This window comes from Homo sapiens, chromosome 18 (assembly GCF_000001405.40).
Source record: "Homo sapiens chromosome 18, GRCh38.p14 Primary Assembly".
In the NCBI taxonomy this organism is placed as follows: domain Eukaryota; kingdom Metazoa; phylum Chordata; class Mammalia; order Primates; family Hominidae; genus Homo; species Homo sapiens.
In genome coordinates, this window is record NC_000018.10 from 45,711,396 (window position 1) to 45,731,499 (window position 20,104).

The 20,104-nt window shown below is 43.8% G+C and overlaps 1 protein-coding gene and 2 long non-coding RNA genes across 17 annotated transcripts in view; 2 read left to right on the top strand and 1 right to left on the bottom strand.

Annotated features, from left to right (window-relative positions):
* The window catches only part of LOC105372093 (uncharacterized), a 176,501-nt gene that overhangs the window by 105,060 nt on the left and 51,337 nt on the right, over positions 1-20,104 (bottom strand). The window lies entirely within an intron of this gene.
* LOC105372092 (uncharacterized) lies at positions 1,754-11,640 on the top strand. Of its 3 annotated transcripts, XR_935422.3 has the most exons (4): positions 1,754-5,571; positions 9,828-9,964; positions 10,602-10,815; positions 11,543-11,640. It is a non-coding gene; the product is annotated as an uncharacterized LOC105372092 (long non-coding RNA). The 3 variants fall into 3 exon arrangements; XR_001753558.2 differs by lacking the exon at positions 11,543-11,640 and having other exon boundaries at positions 10,602-10,816; XR_001753559.2 differs by lacking the exon at positions 11,543-11,640 and having other exon boundaries at positions 10,605-10,816.
* Positions 12,786-20,104, top strand: part of SLC14A1 (solute carrier family 14 member 1 (Kidd blood group)) — a 28,340-nt gene continuing 21,021 nt past the window's right edge. For 4 of the 13 annotated variants that reach the window (NM_001128588.4, NM_001439164.1, XM_011526144.2 and 1 more), the window contains exons 1-5: positions 12,786-12,878; positions 13,555-13,618; positions 15,866-16,023; positions 18,905-19,076; positions 19,620-19,809. In NM_001128588.4, the coding sequence (NP_001122060.3) occupies positions 15,877-16,023; positions 18,905-19,076; positions 19,620-19,809 (509 nt within the window). In that variant the 5' untranslated portion in view covers positions 12,786-12,878; positions 13,555-13,618; positions 15,866-15,876. Of the gene's footprint in view, positions 12,879-13,554; positions 13,619-15,557; positions 17,992-18,590; positions 18,726-18,904; positions 19,077-19,619; positions 19,810-20,104 lie in introns of those variants that run through there. The other 9 variants (XM_047437758.1, NM_001146036.3, XM_006722526.4 and 6 more) reach the window with 9 other exon arrangements.

Below are 20,104 nucleotides of genomic sequence, written 5' to 3' on the forward strand. Positions count from 1 at the left end.
CATGTCTTTTCTTGTGACTATATGTACACATTTCTTTTGTGTATAGTCCCAAGAAGGAATTGCTGGGCCATGGATTATGCATTTCTGCTCTCAGAGATGCTGCCAGCAGTTTTTTTGGGTTTTTTTGGTTTTTTTGGTTTTTTTTGAGATGGAGTCTCACTCTGTCACCCAGGCTGTAGTGCAGTGGCGCGATATTGGCTCACTGCAACCTCCACCTCCCTGGTTCAAGTCTCCCAGGTAGCTGGGATTACAGGCGCCCACCACCATACCCAGCTACTTTTTCTTTTATTTTTAGTAGAGACGGAGTTCTACCACGTTGGCCAGGCTGGTCTGAAACACCTGACCTCAGGTGATCCACCTGCCTCAGCCTCCCAAAGTGCTGGGATTACAGGAGTGAGCTGCCGCACCTAGCCGGTGCCAGCAGTTTCTAAAGTGATCGTATCAATGCACATTTCTACCAGCAGTGTGGGTAAGTTTTGGCAACTCCACTTCCCTGCCAACAATTGATGCCATTTTTGATTCACCCTTCCATGCCTAAGGTATTTCTTTTTTCCTCCAGAATGATCTCATATTTTCAGCCCTTTCCTCTCAGTACTGTCCTGCTTCAGGAGAGCTCACAGTGAGGCTCCCTGGCACTGGCCCTCAGGCCTCCCCGTGGACTGCTCCCAGATAAGCTCCCTAAATGCTGCTTTCATCCTCACACTGTTCTGTCCACAGAACTTCAATTACTCCTGATTTCCAATTACTTTAGAGTTATATCTGTTCATCTGGTTTTTGACACTCTGCAAACCTGGTCAATAATCCAGAAGACCTCATCTTTCCTTTGGGCTTCATAATTCCTACATATCATTTTCCAATGTCATAATCTCTCTTCCAGTAAGTCTCCAGCATCAGCTTGTTTGGCAGGAAAACTGTCTTCTTTGTTAGCAGTTCTGTAAGGAACCCTCCCTCCCTACTAGCTGGAGAGGGTAGTGGCAGCAAAGCCTCAGAGAATTTGTTCCAACACCCTTGTTTTCAGAGAAGCCCCAAAGTTGTAAAGAACTTTTTAAAAAATCCTAATGACTTGGCAGGTTTTCATAACTTTCTTAAAGTGGCAACCACCACTTCTTATTTGTTACTATTCTTTATTTAATACGAAAACAGGCAGAACTTTGGAGCTACAGGCATCAAGCATCTGCTGCATTTAGGGAGGTTTTATTTTTATTTATTTATTTTGAGATGGAGTCTCGCTCTGTCACCCAGGGTGGAGTGCAATGGCACAACCTCGGCTCACTGCAACCTCCGCTTCGAGCAATTCTCCTGCCTCAGCCCCCCAAGTAGCTGGGATTACAGGTGCCCACCACCACGCCTGGCTAATTTTTGTATTTTTAGTAGAGATGGGGTTTTCACCATGTTGGCCAGGCTGGTCTCGAACTCCGGACCTCAAGTGATCTACCCGTCTCGGCCTCCCAAAGTGCTGAGATTACAGATGTTAGCCACCATGCCTGGCCAAAGGAGGTTTTAGACCAGTAGAAAGTGTTTGAAACCTTCCATCATTACAGAGAATCATAGAAATGCATGGAAAATAGAGAGCAGGCAAATGATGCTTATTTCTCCCACGTTAAGAAGAAAAATCAGACTGCTCTGTGTTTAATATTTGCTTACAGTTTATATAGTTATTACTTGAATGTTGTATAGTTATTAGAATGTTATGTAGTTATATATATAACATGTTATATAGTTATATAGACTGTTATTATAGTTATTACTTGAATCCTACTTTATATAGGAAATCCCAATGCATTCTAGTTCATATTGCCCATATTATTGAACGTAGAGCATAATTTTGCTATTTTAAATGGCATAGGATTCATAGTTGCATCTTGTCTTTGATAATATAGTATTTTTCTTACTTGTACTTTATTTGATGGTGAGTCCTTTGGTAGGGGCAGTAGGGGCTCCATGTCTGGTCATTGTATCATACAACATGAGGAAGGGAATGTCAGAAGATGCTATCAGTTCTGATGCCTTATGCAAACATAAAGAAACAGTGCTTTCCTTGTGGACATAAGTGGGGGCTAGATTCACAGGCCATGACTCACAGCACACACCTTCTAGTCTGATCACAGGCTGTTTGCAGCCCCTAAAACAAGCCATGCTTCTCTTAGCTTATCCTTAAGTCTCTCCCCTGAAGGCCACTCTCTCTTTTCCTGCCTTCGCTAAATGCTACTCAAATATTAAGGGCCTTATTAGGCCAACATCTTTAGTAAAGTTCCTTCTGCTTACTCTAGACTCTACTGATATTACCCAAACTCTCTTAATCCTAAATTGTGTCTGCCCACAATTTAGCACTTAATTGCATATCACATAGTATCATTTAAGGGAGACTTAAAATCTGGCAGTTCTTGATTGAACTTGATGGGCATCCCGTCCCTCCCTGGAAGACCACATAATGGGTTCCCTTTTAGCTAATGATATTACAAACCCCTTGTGTGCTAAGGAAGAAGCATTATTTTGCCCCAATGTCACCATTGATCTTATGCAGCCTTGACTTTCACTGATGCTCCCTGTGTCTTATTGCCTCCCCAGGTGCAAGAATTATCTCACACCTCACACCATTCCCTGGAGTCCTGAGGACTTACCCAGATACTCAGTAGGATGGGAAATTGGGGGTGAAAAATGACAGTTAATTGGAAGGGCATGGCCTGCAGCCTGAGAGAAGTTGCTGAGTTTGGAAAGTAGGAAGGCGGTGAACTGGCCAAGGGATCATGAGTTTACAGCTTGTGACCACGATGTAAAGGAAGGACCGGTCCCATTCCACACCTGATCCTTAGGGGCCTCAGGCCTCTGGGTTTGGCAGCTGGGATTGGTATTGTTCTGTGTCATCCACAATGATCTCTGCCAAAGAGGGCCTGAAGATACAGGCTTCCTTCCTGCTTGCCAGCTTCAGAATGGCTCGGGTGTTCCCAGAACTGGCCAATCTATGCACCTAGAACTGAGGCTTGACACTCCCCAGGTTCAGGGCAGTCCTAGAAGCAAGCTAAAGCCTCTCCCCTTGGGGTAGATCTCCAAGGCTGGCATCCTGGGAGCTTGGTGCATAAGGCTGATTCACCTGCCACAGGACCTATGAGCTCTGTGTGTGTCCCCAGTGGCAAGGGCATTGACCCTGGGCTACCTGTCCCAGTCACAATTCTGGACCCCTGCTCTGAGGGCTATATTTAGAGGAATTGTACCCCGACTTCCCTGCCAACCTAGAGACACACACACCCTATCTCAGGACCTCACAGGAACTCATCCTAGTCTTCAAGTATCAGAGTCGTTCACCCATTTATTCATCCATATACTCAACAAATAACTATTATGAATCTCCATGAGCCAGACACTGAACCTGGGGCTACATCAGTAAACAAGACCATCCCAGACTCTGCCCTCAGGAAGCTAGCCAGTGAGTGGGGAAGCTCTATAAAGCAGACAGTTGCAAGATCCTGTAATTACGGTGAGAGGAAAGAGAAATATTTTGGGAGATGCATGCCAATGACTGTGGCCTGAAGTTTGACCTTTTCTCCATCAGGCAGTCATAATGGAAGATGCTTACCCACCCCTGTCCTGGGGTAGGAGGGATAGCAGATGGGATGGCAGTGTCATTTAGAAAATTGCCTTCAAAATGTCTATTTTTATAATGTAGGCTACAGAAAGTACAGTTCCACACAGTGTTTTGTTATTTTGGCCTTTTGGACAAAGAAGTCATATGTATACTGGTGTGGTATAGGAGAGAATTACTGCAGGGTCCCTGAATTTACAAAGATCAGGGAATCCAAGGTGGAAAAACCAGGGCATGGAACCCACCAAGAAAATGTTTCAAGAAGTCCCCTGAGACCCTGGGGTGGGGATTGCTCCTGCAATGCAGCGGGTGTCAGTCCTGTGAGTGGGCAGGATGCAGAGGCCTCTGGCTAAACCACACAAGGTGCTGCCAGACTCCCTGGGCTGGAGGAAGCCCTGCCCCTGTGTGTGCAAGCATCACCCTCCCGTGACATGTGATGATGTCTCATGGTAACTGATGGCCTCAAGGCACCCACCAAACCTATATGAAGCAACCAGCACCACGCAGAGGGTGGGACCTGATGGAGTGACTTGATGAAGTTTAATGGGAGGACAAGGCTTGGCCTAGAGTGTTGCCTTCCATTGGTGTGGCCCAGCATGCAACGGCACACTCCCTGCTGCCAGCTGGAATGCCACCATGACTCACTTGGGCTCACCATGGCATCTCCAAACAAGACATCGGAATTTGTAAACTGTCCCCACTCCAGGGGCTGAATTCATGCCTTTTCACCTAGTCTCAAGGACAGGGATGCTTTACAGCAGTGCTTTCCAAACAAATCCCCTGGGGACCTACTTAATGCAAATTCTGATTCTGAAGGTCTGGGTGGGACTGAGATGTTTCATTTCTAAACAAGTTCCAGGGGATGTCAATGTTGCTGATCTGGGGACCACACTGTGAGTAGCAAGACCTGAAAACATTCACCAAAGTGAGTGAAATTTAACCTTCACTTCTCCTTCACAAGGAAGGATGATCGGCTCCACCATCTGGTGCTCACTCAGCAAGCATTTGTTGAGCCTAGGAACTGAGATAATGGTAACACCATTGGCGGAAATAATGAAGTCAGAGACAGGAACTGTTGTTTTAGGAGAAATAATAATAATTACCTTTGCTTGAATGCCTGTCCTGTTCTATGATCTTGTTTGATCCTTATATTTGGAAGGTAGATATTATTAATCTTCATTAATTTCATAGTGGAATTAGGCTCAAAAAGGTGAAGTGATTTTCCCTGAGGTGTCATTGCTGGCTGGAAATTGAACCTGGTCTATTAAACTCCAAAATCTACCTGATCCCACTGTGAAGCAGTTCCTTGTTCTAGAGAGTGGGGAATTAGCGTTAAGTAGATTCAGCATAGTGGTTCGCAACCCTGCCTGCACGTTAGAATCACCAAGAAAACTTTAAACCCCCCCACACCCCAAACTAATTACAATAGACTCTCTAGGGGAGGGATGCTCTATCCACATTTTTTAAAGCTCTCCAGGTAATTCCAATGTGCAGACAAGCCTGGGAATCGCTGAGTTAGCCCAACTCTTCTCCTAAGAAGTGAGCAATTGAGAAGCCAATAAATGAAATGGCAACCTTGTCAGAACTAGTATCTCTCCATTCCTTCTCCAGGACTGTTTCCAATAAACTGGCTAAACATAACATGCTGTAGTGGGATGAAGCAGAATGGGAAAGAAAGTAGGATACAGGAATTTGCCAAGGGAAAATACATAAGGAGCTGAGAATCCAAGCCAACACTGGAGGCAACACACATTTAGGAGCTGAGGAGAAGATTCTGAAAGATAGAGAATTTCACCAAACTAAAATCCTTAACATCAAGAACAACATTTCTTCATTTAGGAATCCTCCTGTGTTTGGCATCTCTTACACGATGGATGAGTGAACGGAGGAAATGAGAAAGGTGGTGTGGCTCTAATGGACAAGAAAGTTCAGAAGCCAAGTTGAGTAGGAAATGGGTGTCACATTGGGATTGAGGAAAGGCATAATAACAGGTGAGATGGCTTTACCCAGTGTGAATCTACTGAAGGAAGGACTATAAAAGTGAATGGCCTCCATGAGGAAGTCATATTGTAAGGTTTTCTGATTAGGATTAGGATGATTTTTAAATAATAGAATGGAATACACCAAGTAGAGAAATAAATGGAACAATCTGCTTGAAGCAAAAAAAAAAAAAAAAAAGGCTTGAGGCTACTCTAGGGACCATAATGCCATCTCTTGCCATAATCAAGAGAAAAGGCCAGAGCCCCCCACCATCTCCTCAAAGAGAAATCTTAGATAACAGAACAAAGTTCTGGGTACTCCACCAACCACCTGGGATGCCCCTGGGTAACTTCATCCTTCAAGGCTGTCATGGATGTTAAAATGAATTTCTCCTTATTAAACATTGAGGATAAAAAGCTATTGAGGACCAAGTGTGGTCTTCCCCTATAATCCCAGCATTTTTGGAGGCTGAGGTGAGAGGGTTGCTTGAGGCCAGGAGTTCAAGATCAGCCTGGGCAACCTAGCAAGACCCCTTGGTTACAAAAAATAAAAATAAAGCTATTGAGCAATTGGTTGTGAGACTTACATGGCAGTCAAGTCTCTTGGGGGTTCTGTAGACCCCAGGTTTTACAAAAGTGTGAGTCAGAAGGAGCCAAAATGCTAAGTGATGTTGGGCATTAAAAGTCCACATGGGGATATTGTTTTACTCATCATATCACAAGGGTGTTTAAGTTTCTGCCTAGGATTTTCCATCTCACTCAACAATGTTTAATTCATTGTCCATGTTGATGTGGGTTTAATTGTGAGATCACAGACACTTGTCTTCAAAGATGACATCTCCTGAACCATGCCTTAGACACTCTTCTGTATGAAGGAAGGACATTTCCTCACCCATCCTCACTCCCCTGGCCCACTTTCAGACCTCCACTGACACTTTGGGACTGGCTGGCCGGCGTGCCATTGTGTCATGCTGCTGGGGACTAGAAAGCTAAGTGACCTACCCAGGAATAAACTCTTTGACTTCCCTCACATCAGCACATCCTAGCCACCTCAGGCCCAGGACAAAACTAAACATTAGCCCCCAGTTTAAATATGTCCCTTGGTCCAGGTGTTGGGAGAAAATAATCAGCAACCTCAGCTGAGTGAGAAAAAGACTGCAGGTAGGGAAAATGGATAAACAATGGGAAACCTGTGTCTCCTTGTGTATGCCCTATTTCTTCCCACATTGCTATTTCTCCAGGACCCACAGTTGACACCCCAGTTGGGAGAAGGTTCCACTGGTCCCAAGAAGCTGAATTAAAAGCTGGCTTCTTCCGGTACCAGAAACAAAGTCAATGCGAACACTTCTCCAAATAAGAGTTACAATAGTGTTGAGAGTCGCCATCTTTTGTTTAAAAGCAGGGGTTTGTGATTAATTAGGAACCCTCCTTTTAGTTCTATCACCATTTATTCATCTGAATCTTGAATGAGAAATGGAAAATTTTGTATTTTTCCAATGCTATACAGAAAGGATAATGGTGCTGTAATGCCTAGCTGATTTTTAAGTACTAATAAGAGATGTAGCATCCAAAATAAATAAATAAAGCCTTCTCTACTGGGTGTTAATCTTGCTTTTGAAGAAAACTTGGACTCGGGTTTATTCTTTAACAACAGGATACCATGTTAGAGGTACAGGGGATTCTCCTCTGTGTCTATAGTATCCCTGCAATCTGCATTTCTTAGGCCAACGCTGTTATAGTGAGAGTTGCTAAGGCTGTGGTCAGTTAAATCATAATACTCCAGTTTCCCAACTCAAGAAGTTGAGGATGCAGTGTTGTCCAGTTTCATGTCAACTAATGGAACAGGTCATTGAATAGTTTGTCCAGTTTGCCCTTAAGTTCCTTCTGCCTTTGCCCCACAACCCAGCCTCGGTGATACCAAGAGAAAAGAAAGTAGAGGCCAGGGGAATGGGAGGAGGGGTCAGGGTTAAAGGACTTTGAATCACTGTCCAGCTCTTGGCTGTCAATTGGTGTAAGGCAGGAGAATAGTAACAGGGAGGATTCCTAATAACCACAAAGGTCATTAAATCAGGCTGAGCAACAAAACTGTGCAGCTGGCAGATACTCAGTCTCCAGTTGAGACAAATGATGAGGAAGGGGCCTGAGCCAGCTGCCACCTCCCCAGCTCCAGAGAATAGTCGCACTTTAATACACCTGCCCCATCCCAGCCAGGCCCCTGGTGAGTAACTCAGATCCTGATCTATGCATGGGCAGTTTAATGTTACACATAATTTTCACCTCAAGAGTATGTAATTGGGCAGCACCCACACTCAGGAATTCTATAAGACATTCTCATGCTTCTCTGTCCCCTCACCCTCAACAAAGAGCATGGCAAGGACTGCAAGTCTGGAATACAACATTCCTTTGCAGTGTGTTCTGAGCCCACGGATGTTTTGGTTTGGCAAACCTTCAGACAAAAAGACAGCAGATCGATCTGGGTGCCCAGCGAGCCCCATTCGCAATGGTGATGCCAGGCCGTCCCACCTCCTCTTCCCGGCCCAATTATCAAATCGAGCTCAACTTCCTAACCTTGGGGCCAGCATCCCCTCATCTTTTACAGTAAGAGAACAATCCGATGCATGTGGTTTATCCTTAGCAGGGGCCTAGGGAAACGCGGCCATGCCAGTCCCCACCCCTCATTTTTCCAACACTTTACTCTCCTTTTCATCTGAGCCTAAAGAGATTGAGATGATTCTCCTCCTACCTCTTTCCCTATTGTTCCTCACTGGGAAATGATTTTTTCTTTTAATCTTGAAGAAACAAAAGGCGCAAGCCTGGGAGGGAGGATGATGCCCCGGGTGGTGTAGTGGATGGGATTTGGCGCTCTCACCACCATGGCCCGGATTTGATTCCCGGTCAGGGAAGCCTTTCTTCTTGCCAGGCGTGGTGGCTCATGCCTGTAATCCCAGCACTTTGGGAGGCTGAGGCAGATGGATCACTTGAGGTCAGGAGTCTGAGACCAGCCTGGCCAACATGGTGAAACCCTGTCTCTGCTAAAAATACAAAATTAGCTGGGCATGGTGGTGCATGCCTGTAATCTTAGCTACTCAGGAGGCTGAAGCAGGAGAATCGCTTGAACCCAGGAGGTGGAGGTTGCGGTGAGCTGAGATCACACCACTGCACTCCAGCCTGGGCAAAAGAGCAAGACTCTGTCTAAAAAAAAAAGAAGAAGAAGAAGAAAAAGAAACAAAAGCTGGCTTCTCGGTGTTCAAAAAAAATAAAAATGAAAATTTTTAAAAGCTCAAGGTATTGCTAGACAATATGGCTCCTTGCACAGACACACTAGCACCCCTTTTCTCAAGACATTTTAGTACCATCTTCAAGAACTTTGTTGCAATAAACACACAAATTTCTAGGACATTAATAGTGACCCCCTTAGACGTGGTGCATTTGTGCAGTGCACAACCTGCACACCCTTACGCATTGGCCCATGACACCAGAGACTACATTATGAGCCTTACACTGGTCTGATTTTAATTTAAAAGCTGGAAAGGTGACAGATGGGCATCTGATGAAAGTTGTAGGTAGGGATGGAGATTACATGAACCCTCTGCTTTGTGCAGGAGGAACATCATCTCTGGATGCTCCCAGCTATTGATCCCCGTTTACTCCTAAAATGGATGGAATAATTTCAGGACTGCATTTAAGGGGAGCTAAAAACTTAGGGACCTCAGTGCCTCCTTTCATCACCCGTCATTGTGTTCCCCCAGCAAGGGCAGGCAGTGGAGGTTTGAGTGAGACTTTTGCACTCTCTGCGCTGCCTTGATCCTTGGCTTCACTCTAGGGAATGCCTACATCAAAGGGTCCCCTCCAAGTGTCGTTCTGGGAGTTTTGGCTCTCGTCTGGTACCTTTTTATCTGACTGTTTACCAAACCAAAGAACTCAGTAGGCTCAGAACTCACTGCAAAGGAACATTCTGTTCCAGACTTGCAGTCCTTGCCACTCTCTTCGTGGGGGGGTGAGGGGACAGAAAAGCATGAGAATGTCTTGTAGAAGTCCTCAGTGAGGGCACTGCCCAATTACATAATCTTGAGGTGCCAATTATTTATAACATTAAACTGCCTATGCGTAGATCAATATCAAGCAGCAATCAAATGAAACAGTGTTATAATTTCTGATTAAAACAACACAAATTTAGAAATACCAACAAATGCAAGGTATTGTAGAAAAAATATGAAAATTGTGTTTTATCCATAGTTGCATTCTCCTTTCTCCATTTTGTCACCTAGTTCTTATGTCCTCTTACGTATATTTGATGAACTGCCTCAAAATCTTTCTGGAAAGAGAGGTCCATTAGGAATGGAGAGAGCTATTGGATCCTGACTTCATCATCCGGTACCTTCCGGCCCAGATGGGACTGTGCATCGTAAGATATATTCTAAAAAATAAGACAGTACCAGAACTGTTGCAGAGCTAGGCGGCATGATTTCATGGCCAGTGAGGAATAGAGATGTAAACTGCTTTAAGTGCACAGAAGCCCACTGCGAAATCCAAATAGATTTGGGCAGAGTATGAGGAGGGGGAGGAGAGAGAAAACATTCTAGGGGCAGAAACTCCAAGAAGAAAGTCGAAGAGGAGAGCAGCTTTATGTAGGTTCATTTGTGATTGTTCCAGGCAGAGAGATGGAAGGTGCATTCACTTGGTATGGGAACAGAGAGGGGCACCCAAAGAGGAGATGCAAGGGAAAGACCAAGGAAAGGCAATGTTAGGGCATACTCAGCAAATGACTCTCTGGAAATAATAAAGGAGCTACTGTAGAAAGAACAGAGAAAAGTTCATTGTATTGTGCAATTAGGCTGTTAAAAGCACCGAGAACACATGTATGCACGCAATGAGTGCCCAGTTGTCTACAGCAACAGGGTGGCAGCGGACCCTGGCATCTCAGAATCCTGCAGTATGAGAATTTGGCAAGCCCTGCATCAGAAAGCTACCTAGTTCACAGTTCTTGAATGAAGCAAATGGTTTCCTCTGTACTCATAACTGCACCCCTTCTGATGTCAAAGCAGGGAGAAGTTTGTCCCCTTATTCAAGCCAGGAGGAAGGTTCCATTTGGAAACCCCCAAGGTAAACCAGTGCTGATTGAGAGGGGCTGACATCAGAATGGGGGCACCTCTACATGTTCGGCACGGTGCTTTGAAGATGTCATCCCTCATCACAACTTTATAAAGGAAGAAAAGTTACCCCACTTTACACTGAGGAATCTGAGGCTCAGAAACTGTGAGTAACATGCCTAAGGTCATACAGCTTGTCAGAGAAAAGCTAGTATTCAAACTCAGGTTTATCTGACTTGGAATTCCATGTGCCTTGTGCTGCCTTGTGCATACAATATGGCAAGGCTGTAATTTGTGGCCCCCCACTTAAGGTGTGGCTTTACAGGGACCAGGAGAAAGGCCAGGGAGGGAGGGTGGGTACAGAAAGAGGTGGTTTTTCCAAGGAGGTCTGAGATTCACTACACACCTTCAGCCCTGACCAGTGCGACTGAGGCAGAAGGCTCCATGGGTGTCATGTGGAGGCAGCTTCAGGATGAGGTCCATAAATATGCATCATGGCCAAGTTGAGTGAAGGAATTAATGAAAAGCAAACATACAGGCAGAAGTTGGAAATATTGGACAGCACTGGAGTGGCTAAAAGTACAAACTTTGAGTCAGACTTTGAGCAAGTTATTTAAACTCTGAGCCTCAGATTGCTCATCTACAAAATGGGGACAATAGTATAATATAGGAATTTTGCAAATGCTCTACCATTTGTGGCAGTTATTATTCTCATTACCATCATTAGCATGATTATTTCTATCAGGGACAGTGGTCCATTTGCATAAGGAAGTCATGGAGACACTAGTATGATTCCTTTCATTCCCAAAGCAGGCCACTCACACTGTCTCCTGAAGATTCATTTTTCTCCTTCAGGGAAACCCGAGGAGCTTATTTTCTCCTTATTTTACCAGGGAAAAAATGTTGGAAGGAGATTTGCCTGAACCTGGAAACTCTTATTATGAACCTAGACCTATACACACCCTACCTCAGCTGCTCGGGAGGCACTTGGAGGAAGGATGTCCCAAGCCGGCAAGAACCCTGTGGTCTGGCGGGTGTCCAGCGGGTGGAGCCAGAGAGCTCCCAGCCATGGGCCACCTAGCTGAAGGCTGATAAGTACTATCTGCACATCCAAGCAGGCAGGAGACCCAGATAAAAGACCTATGACATCTGCATGGCTGGCTGTGGGATTACATATATATATTATATATATATTTAAAAGTATATGTATATATGTATATATATTACATATATACACACATATATATCTACACATATGTAATATATGTATATATGTATATTTATTATATGTATATATCTACATATATACATGTATGTATGTAATATAGATGTATATATGTTACATATATACACACATATACATATATACACATATATTTTTTTAAAATTCTGCACTCATAAAAGTAGATTTGAGTTAGATTTTTGCCATAACAGAACAAGCCACAAAATTGAAATTTAAAAAGAAGGGGGAAGGAGGAGATATTTTAATTCAGTTTTAGATTTCCCTGCTATAGAATGTTTGCTTCCTGACTTTTAAAGAGGCAGCAGAGTATGTCCAAGAATTCTCACCTGGGAAGACAGACATTCCAGGGAAACACTGATATTTTTGTTTTCTCCTCACTGGGAAAAAGGCAGCTGGCCTTCAGAAAACAACTTGCATGTACCTTATCTTCCCCACCCTCCCAACAGCCCCTCAGGCCCTTGCTGGAGTCTTACATCTGTGTAGAAGTTGTGCCAAGTCTAAGAAAATTTCACCCCAGGAGCAGTCGCTTAGCTTCCGAGTCCACACAGCAGCAACCTGCCCCATGGTTTTTAGTTTGACACCGTGTTGATCCTTTTCAGTTGTAAATCTTTCCAAAAATATGAGTAGGGGCCAGAGGAAACAGGAGAAGAAAAAGATGCATTTTGGTAGGATTATTGCTGGTCAAAGACCTTGGAATGCTGTGGAAACTGTGGCAAAGCAGTTGGTACTCTGTCAAGAACAGAGAGAGAGACATCGGGTACTGAAGCCAGGGGACCAGTTCCTTGGTGTTGCTTTGGCATTGATGCCTGAAGTGGGAGGAGAAAGCCGAGCCCACAAACACACAGAGCAGAGTGGGGCTCTGAGTATATAACTGTTAGGTGCCTCCCTCCAGCACCATCTCCTGAGAAGCACTCTCCCTTGTCGTGGAGGTGGGCAAATCTTTATCAGCCACTGCCTTCTGCTGCCAGGAAGCCAGCTAGAGTGGTGTAAGTACTCATCCTTATTTCTATTCATTTCCAACTATTCATCATTTGGGGCTTGTCTTCACAGTTCTAAGTTTTGCTCTTTTTCTTAATGAAGAAAATGTTTTATATCACCGGAATTGATCAGAAGTAGCAAAATCAGAGTTCTGGTAGACTAGAAAGCAATTTACCAAAGCCACAGGCTTCTTCCTGGAAGCTCAAAGGCATGCCTTTATTCGTGATTTCTGAAGCAAGGTGCATGCAGCACCTGAGCTGATGTGGAAGAGGGTTTGCAGGGAGGTGTCCACCCAATGTGCTCAATGATTCTGGGTTAATCAACACTATTAGGAGTTTCAGGTTGTGTTCTTGAAATAATAATTTGGGCTGTGTTCTTGAAATAAGTTCGAGGCGAGTGTCTACAAGACTCAAAAGAAAAAAGTGGGCCACTGGGAATGGCCCTTTCCAGTGATGGATTTATGGACTCCTCTGTGTGTGCTGTCATGCTGAAGGGAATGTTCTTGTGCACCCATCGGGAGAACAAGTCAGTCACAACTGAAGCCACGAATTTGGCAGCTTCCTTGCAGCTGCACTCTCTGGAGTCTGGAATCAAGACTTCTGGGAGTAGTGTTTTCCAAGGAGGGAAGTGTTTTAACCAGGACACAGGAATATCTGACAGCATTTTCTTTGTTTCCAATTACAGCTTTAAAGAAAACTGGGCATCTCCTGCTACTTAAAATCAAAAACTACCTAAAATAAAGATTATAGTAAGTACCAAATAAGTGTCAATGCTGAAAGTCTCTTTATTATGCTAGACCATGAGTGTTTAAATGCTTTCTTCTATATCCATATCCAACACTTCATATTATTTTTAAAAGTAATAGCTGAAGCATGGAAAATTGAAGACTTCAGGTCTCTCCAATTGCACAAATTTCTAATACATGCTGGCAATAGAATATATTTTATTTCGTGTAATAAAATAGAGGATATTAGTTGACCTGAAATCTTGATATTGCCTTGTATTAAAATGCTAAGCACTGCTTCATTTTACTAGTGATCTGGGGTATGAAAAGTGCTTTTTGACTTCTGCTGGAAAGCTCTTCAGGTGCAGCTTCCAGGATATTCTTGGGATGTTAACTTCAGCACACATAAGCCTTGCTGTAGATGTGTCAGCTTTGAGGCACAGGGAGACATTTGTTTGTCAGAGAGTAACTGCTTCTGGCAAGGGCATAGGGTGAAACTGGGGATAGCAGAGCTCTTTCTTTGTGGTTGTTCAACCCCCACCCCAAGATTAGTTCAAAGTGACCGTGAAGATAGTCTGTGCCCACCGCATCGCTAAGTCCTAGCCCTCTCTGCATACTCCAGCACACAGAAACTGCTGCTTCACTTGTTTGTTGACTTGAACCGAACCTTGGGTGGCATTAATGTGCCTGGCCCAAGACTGAAAAATTAAGAACCACCAGAGCTGACCTATTCCATAAGACCCAGTCTGCCTGCCACGTACTGAGTGAATCTGGATGATGCCCACTCTGATCCTTGGTTTTCTCTTCTATAAAATGAAGGCTTGAACTACGTGGTCTCTAAAATCCTACCTAGCTCTCAAATTTCTCTTGGTTCTAGGAAAATATTGATGTTGAGCTCAAGGAAGGGGTTCTCCAAGGTGTGTGATTTTGGTGGTAGAGGAAAGGCCGGTGCCAGGCAGGGGCAGAAGGAGACGCTGTCTACACTGAGAAAATGTGACAACCCCTGCTTGTCTCTTTTTTCATTCTTCATTGTTTCTTATTTCTTTGTTTTTAGCTTTATATAACATGAGAGCCCTACCACTGGGTTTCTTAACCATTTGTTCTTTATCAAATAAAAATATTCATAATGCAACATGCAGGCACATCAGTGTGGTACAGAACTAGCCAGCTAGTTTACTATAGGTAAATATACACACATGCATGCACACACACAATTTTTACCTGAGACATGTCAGAAGTGTTTCCTAAAATTGTGGATTTTTCTGAGTCATTCTGGTAAAGGGTAGGTTTTCAGGTTTTAGGCCAAGCCAGAAGAAGAAAGTAAAAACAGAATAAACAACAGGGGGAGAAAAAGAGAAATACCACACACACAACTGGAACTTCTGGTAAAAGAGTGATATTCTTGGATGCAATGGAAGTTTTAAAAAGGAAAAAGAAAATTTATAAAAAGCTGCCACATTTGTGGAATTCAACTAAAAACTGTTTATTATTAACAAAGTGATGTTCAAAATTTAAGAGTTCTTGGCCTGGCATGATGACTTATGCCTGTAATCCCAGTGTTTTGGGAGGCTAAGGTGGGAGGATCACTTGAGGCCAGGAATTCAAAACCAGCCTGGACAATACAATGAGACTTTGTCTCTAAAAAAAAATAAAATAAATTAAAATAAACACAGCTGGATGTGGTGGCACAGGAAAAAAAAATACCATTTAGGAGTCTCTTAAAGGCAGCTTGTGAATGCTTACAAAGCGTGGCTAGTATCTTATTACAGAAAACAGAGCCCACATCATGCATCCTTCTTCTCACATTTCATAAACAAGGCCAAGGGAAACTGCTGTGGGGCAACCTGTTGCTTTGGTGTTGGTCCCCAAGATGCAGCCCTCACAATCTGCCCCCAAACGTGTCAGAACATGAACCCCCTCCTCCCCCTCTGGAAGAAGCAACCTCAGATCCAACAGCAGAGACACGCAGCAGAACAAAATCTGGGCATTGGTCCCTGTGTAGGATGGCTTCCCGTTATTTTTTTTTTAAGCAAAGTAAATGAACATCAAATTTCCATAGTCAGCTGCTGTCTTTCTGCCCACTGAGAGCTCTTTGGTGAAGGCAAAGTCCTCCTTCTTCATTAGCGGTCTCCCATGTGGGGCCACATCTTCCCTCACCAGGAACCCAGTGGGCGCGCTCCAGCCCCCCTCAGCTTGCCTTTTGCGTGGTCATTAGAGCTAGGGCACACGTCATGCTGATTCACATATTTTTGCCCTTTGTCATGTATTGAGAAAAAGTAAGGATGAATGGACGGTCTTTGATTGGCGGCGCTGGTGACGCCCGTCATGGTCCTGTTTGGAAGGACCCTTTTGGAACTAAAGCTGGTGACGCAGCGCGCAGAGGCATCGCCCGGCTAAGCTTGGCCCTGGCAGATGGGTCGCAGGAACAGGTATGCTTCCTTCGTGCAGCCTCTGGCTCGGGGAACCTGGGAGCCTGCTCCAAACTCTGGTGTATCTTTTCCGGGCAGAGCCTGGGAAGTGGGGGTTGGCTGTGAGCTAAGCCAAAGGCACAGGGATCTTGGTCCAAAAAGCCCCATGGCGCTCACCTTGGTTTAGAGGCTAGACCATTGAGCTGAGAAGTTTTGACAGCCATGGAAAAGCTGGGGATAAGTCACCTGGGGTTTTACGTTTACCCTGTGTCTATTTTATTAGAGTGCCTTTTACTTATTGTCCCTTCTTCTTAGTTGAAATTAATGGCCTGCTTCACTGGGGCTAAGATGTTTGAACATTAGCAGAAGGTCCTGGCTGCATAGCCTTGCCTTGTCTTCCCAGTTAGGATGTAAGGACTCTTAAAGTTCCCTAAGAAATGCAAATATTTTAGCATGGCAAAATTCTAGGCCAACTACAACTGTAAGTTTCGTATTTCTCCTAAGTGGTTCTCATGCCTGACTTCTGGAGCAAGGAGTCAGGTCTCCCAGGGGCTCTAGAAGGGTTCAGCTGTTCAGAATAAATGGTTCCTGGGGACTCTAAAATAGCAGCAACTGTCTGCCCAGGTCATGAGAAGACCCCTCTCTGCAGGACATCCTAGCCCTACAACCCATCCCAATTATGTTGAAATTAGATTCACAAATGGCAATAAGTCTTCTATATGTTGGGCTGTCGATTTGGAGAAAACTAGTTTAATCTTTACTTAACTTTGGGTGGCTCAACAGGAGACTCGGGCCGCTCAGGCTCTCAATCACGTCTGGCCAGTTCTATTATCAGGTTTCGAATCTGTATCTCCAAAATCTCTGAGGTGATGGGATATTTCAAGCCCTCTAAAATAAATAAATATATGCTGGGAATTTTGAGAACATGAATTTGTTTATTCTGAAATGGTCCATGTTCCTGCTTTGGGAGTTGATGGAAAATGCCACTTGAGTGTTTTCATTTGATGCTGCCACCTTAGGGTTTTATAGATTCAGTTCCAGAAACTCAAGGCATTTATCTCTTTGGGCTGCTTGTCCTTGCCTGAGCTGAAGCCTGATGCCTCCCATAAGTTGGTATGGCTTTGAAAATGGGTCACTACAGCAGAGGCATGGGCTTATCAAGCAATATGTTCAGCTATGAAATTTGAAGAGGGAGATAATCTGAAAATAAATGACAGCCACCACTTAGATTATGAAATAGAAGTACTTTTTCATAAGTGCTTAATTATTCATACGGTTTTTTATCTTTAACTATGGAGCCAACTCAGCTCCATATGGACTTAATTTTGGTTCCTGACCTCCAAGATTCATTGCAAGTCACACAGATGTTGGTATCTAACATTGTTTTACCGAGATAAAATGACCTTGGTCTGGAATGCATTGTATAAAAAGCTGCTTTTTTGTGTAAAGATTAATAGTTTGGCATTGTTTAAAAAGCAGAATGGTTAGTTGGGCAGTGAGGTAATACAATTGAAATGTAATTGCTACCAATAAATCAGTTACCCATATTGATTTCTTTACTGGGATTAATAGAAGCCAAAGCTAGAGTTCAACTTTTTTTAATAGGTATAACTTAGTATCTGTTCATTGCTATTTGTTAGCTATGGTAAATGGAACAATGATGGGGCCAGAAATATCCATGAGGACCATTTGATCACAGCCTGGCAACACAGAGAAGACAGGCTGGTTTCTCTATGTGGGCTTTCAGTGTTTCTTTGGTAGTGTCTTATGTGGCTGTGGCTTCAACATTCCACAATTATGCCTTCCAGGGTCTGATGATTTTGGCGTTTCCCTGCTTCCCAATTGACCTGGCTGTGCTGTTGGCTGTTCTTGCACACTCAAGGTGGTTTTGCCATTGGCTTCCTCCCTCAGCCTGCCTCTGGGATTATGCCACTGCTATTCTTTTTTATCTACCATCAGCACAATGAAATCATCATTTTTGTCTTCAAGGTACCAAATTCTGGTGATATTGGTGCTTTCTTGCAGCTACTTATCATGAGAAGTGAATGGTCTCATAGTGAACACAGTCATGGTTATAGTGTTCATACGTTCCAGAGACATGTTTCCTATAATTATGCCCTGCACATTTTTCTATCATACAATCCTTAGATTACAGCTCTTTGGTTTTCAACAGCTTTGTCCAATTCCATCTTTCCCAGTTTCTCTACCTTGATGAAATATCCTTCTTGCCTGGTTTTACATATTTAAATAACAAATTCCAAAAGTAAAGAGTATCTGAGGCAGTCACATGACATAAGGACAAATTCAAGCCATCTTGGACTTGCAGAGGGTGGGGAGACCGTGTCAACACACACAATTTTAAAAATTTCTTCCCTTTCAATCTTTTAAAAACAAAACTTTTTATAAAATAAAAATGTAATTTAAAAAGGCTACCTGTCTTGGCAAGTAGCTGATCAGCCTGCATTGGTGAGCAGGCCATTCCATAACCTGGTTTCTTGCTCCTTAATTGACAGCATGGAGCTAACGTACTTAATTTCAGCTCTTTCTACGTGATTTGACTCATTCTGTTAACATTAACTGTTTTTCAGTCTTCTCAACTAGACTGAACTCCTTAAGTGCAAGAAATACACGCTTAGTAAATGTTTGTTGGACCAGACACTGCACCTTATGAAATTAAAGACCAGAACATTCTCATGGTAGCATTACAGACACTGATGGCAAAGGTACTGTGGGATTTGGGTTTGGCTAATAAGCTCTGTGGTGGTGTTTCAGAAGGAAAATGGTGCTCTCTTAGTTCTATGGAACATAGTGGTCCAGATCTTCTACTGTAACCAGGCCCAAAGCTGGCTAATCTGGAGGGCTCTGCCTTAGGGATACTTATAAGCTCTGTCCTTCCCTCAAGGAGCCAGAGGAAGAGATAGCCATGGAGGACAGCCCCACTATGGTTAGAGTGGACAGCCCCACTATGGTTAGGGGTGAAAACCAGGTTTCGCCATGTCAAGGGAGAAGGTGCTTCCCCAAAGCTCTTGGCTATGTCACCGGTGACATGAAAGAACTTGCCAACCAGCTTAAAGGTATTTATCCTTTCACATTTTGGAGAGACAGGAGAAGTAGCTTTGGGGGAAATGGTTTCCTGGTACTTCTACTTATACCTTTAGTTATATTCTCCAACTTTTTATAGATCTCTTTACTCACCATTTTTCTACTTTTATCTTTTAACCTGCAAACCTCTCCATTTTTTTTTCTTATGGAGACAGTAGCCAGGGCCCAGCTCATATTAGAAGGCACCTGGCTTCATCCTGTAGTTTCAGTACTTAAAACTTAAATTTATTCCTTTGGCTTCAGAATTTGTACCTATAAGCATGAAAATAAGTGCATTAGATGCTTTCAGGAGCTTAGATTCTAGGAGGGGCAGTGTGGGTTGAGCATACAGTAGATAGAGGCTTTCAGGGATCTGGGTGCCACTAATGCAACAATGGGTTGAGAGAGAAATATTAAAGAAATATCAAAAATGTTTCACTTCCAGGAGGTTTTGCTGATTTTGCTCAGGGTGGGCCTGTGGTTGAAGAGTATCACTTGGCAGCTTCCTTAGCTCTGCTTTACCTCATCCCTTCCAGACAAACCCGTGGTGCTCCAGTTCATTGACTGGATTCTCCGGGGCATATCCCAAGTGGTGTTCGTCAACAACCCCGTCAGTGGAATCCTGATTCTGGTAGGACTTCTTGTTCAGAACCCCTGGTGGGCTCTCACTGGCTGGCTGGGAACAGTGGTCTCCACTCTGATGGCCCTCTTGCTCAGCCAGGACAGGTAGGTGTACCCTTTCAAGCCTTCTCAGCTCCCTTCTGAGACACAGGGGCTGACCAGTTACTGTGGGCAACAGTGATAAAACCACATCCTTCCCAGGATAAACAACATTTAGTCCACAGAACTGTTTATATTTGTTTTTAGTCAGAGGTCAGGGAATCAGTTACAGTCTCTTGCTCTTGATATCTGAATAAATGGCTGGTCTAAATGATGCCAGATTCTTGTGGCATTACGTGCTAACCAGAACTAAGCTACAAGTATTTCCCTGGAGAGGTTCTGAAGGGATCTTCTTTAATGA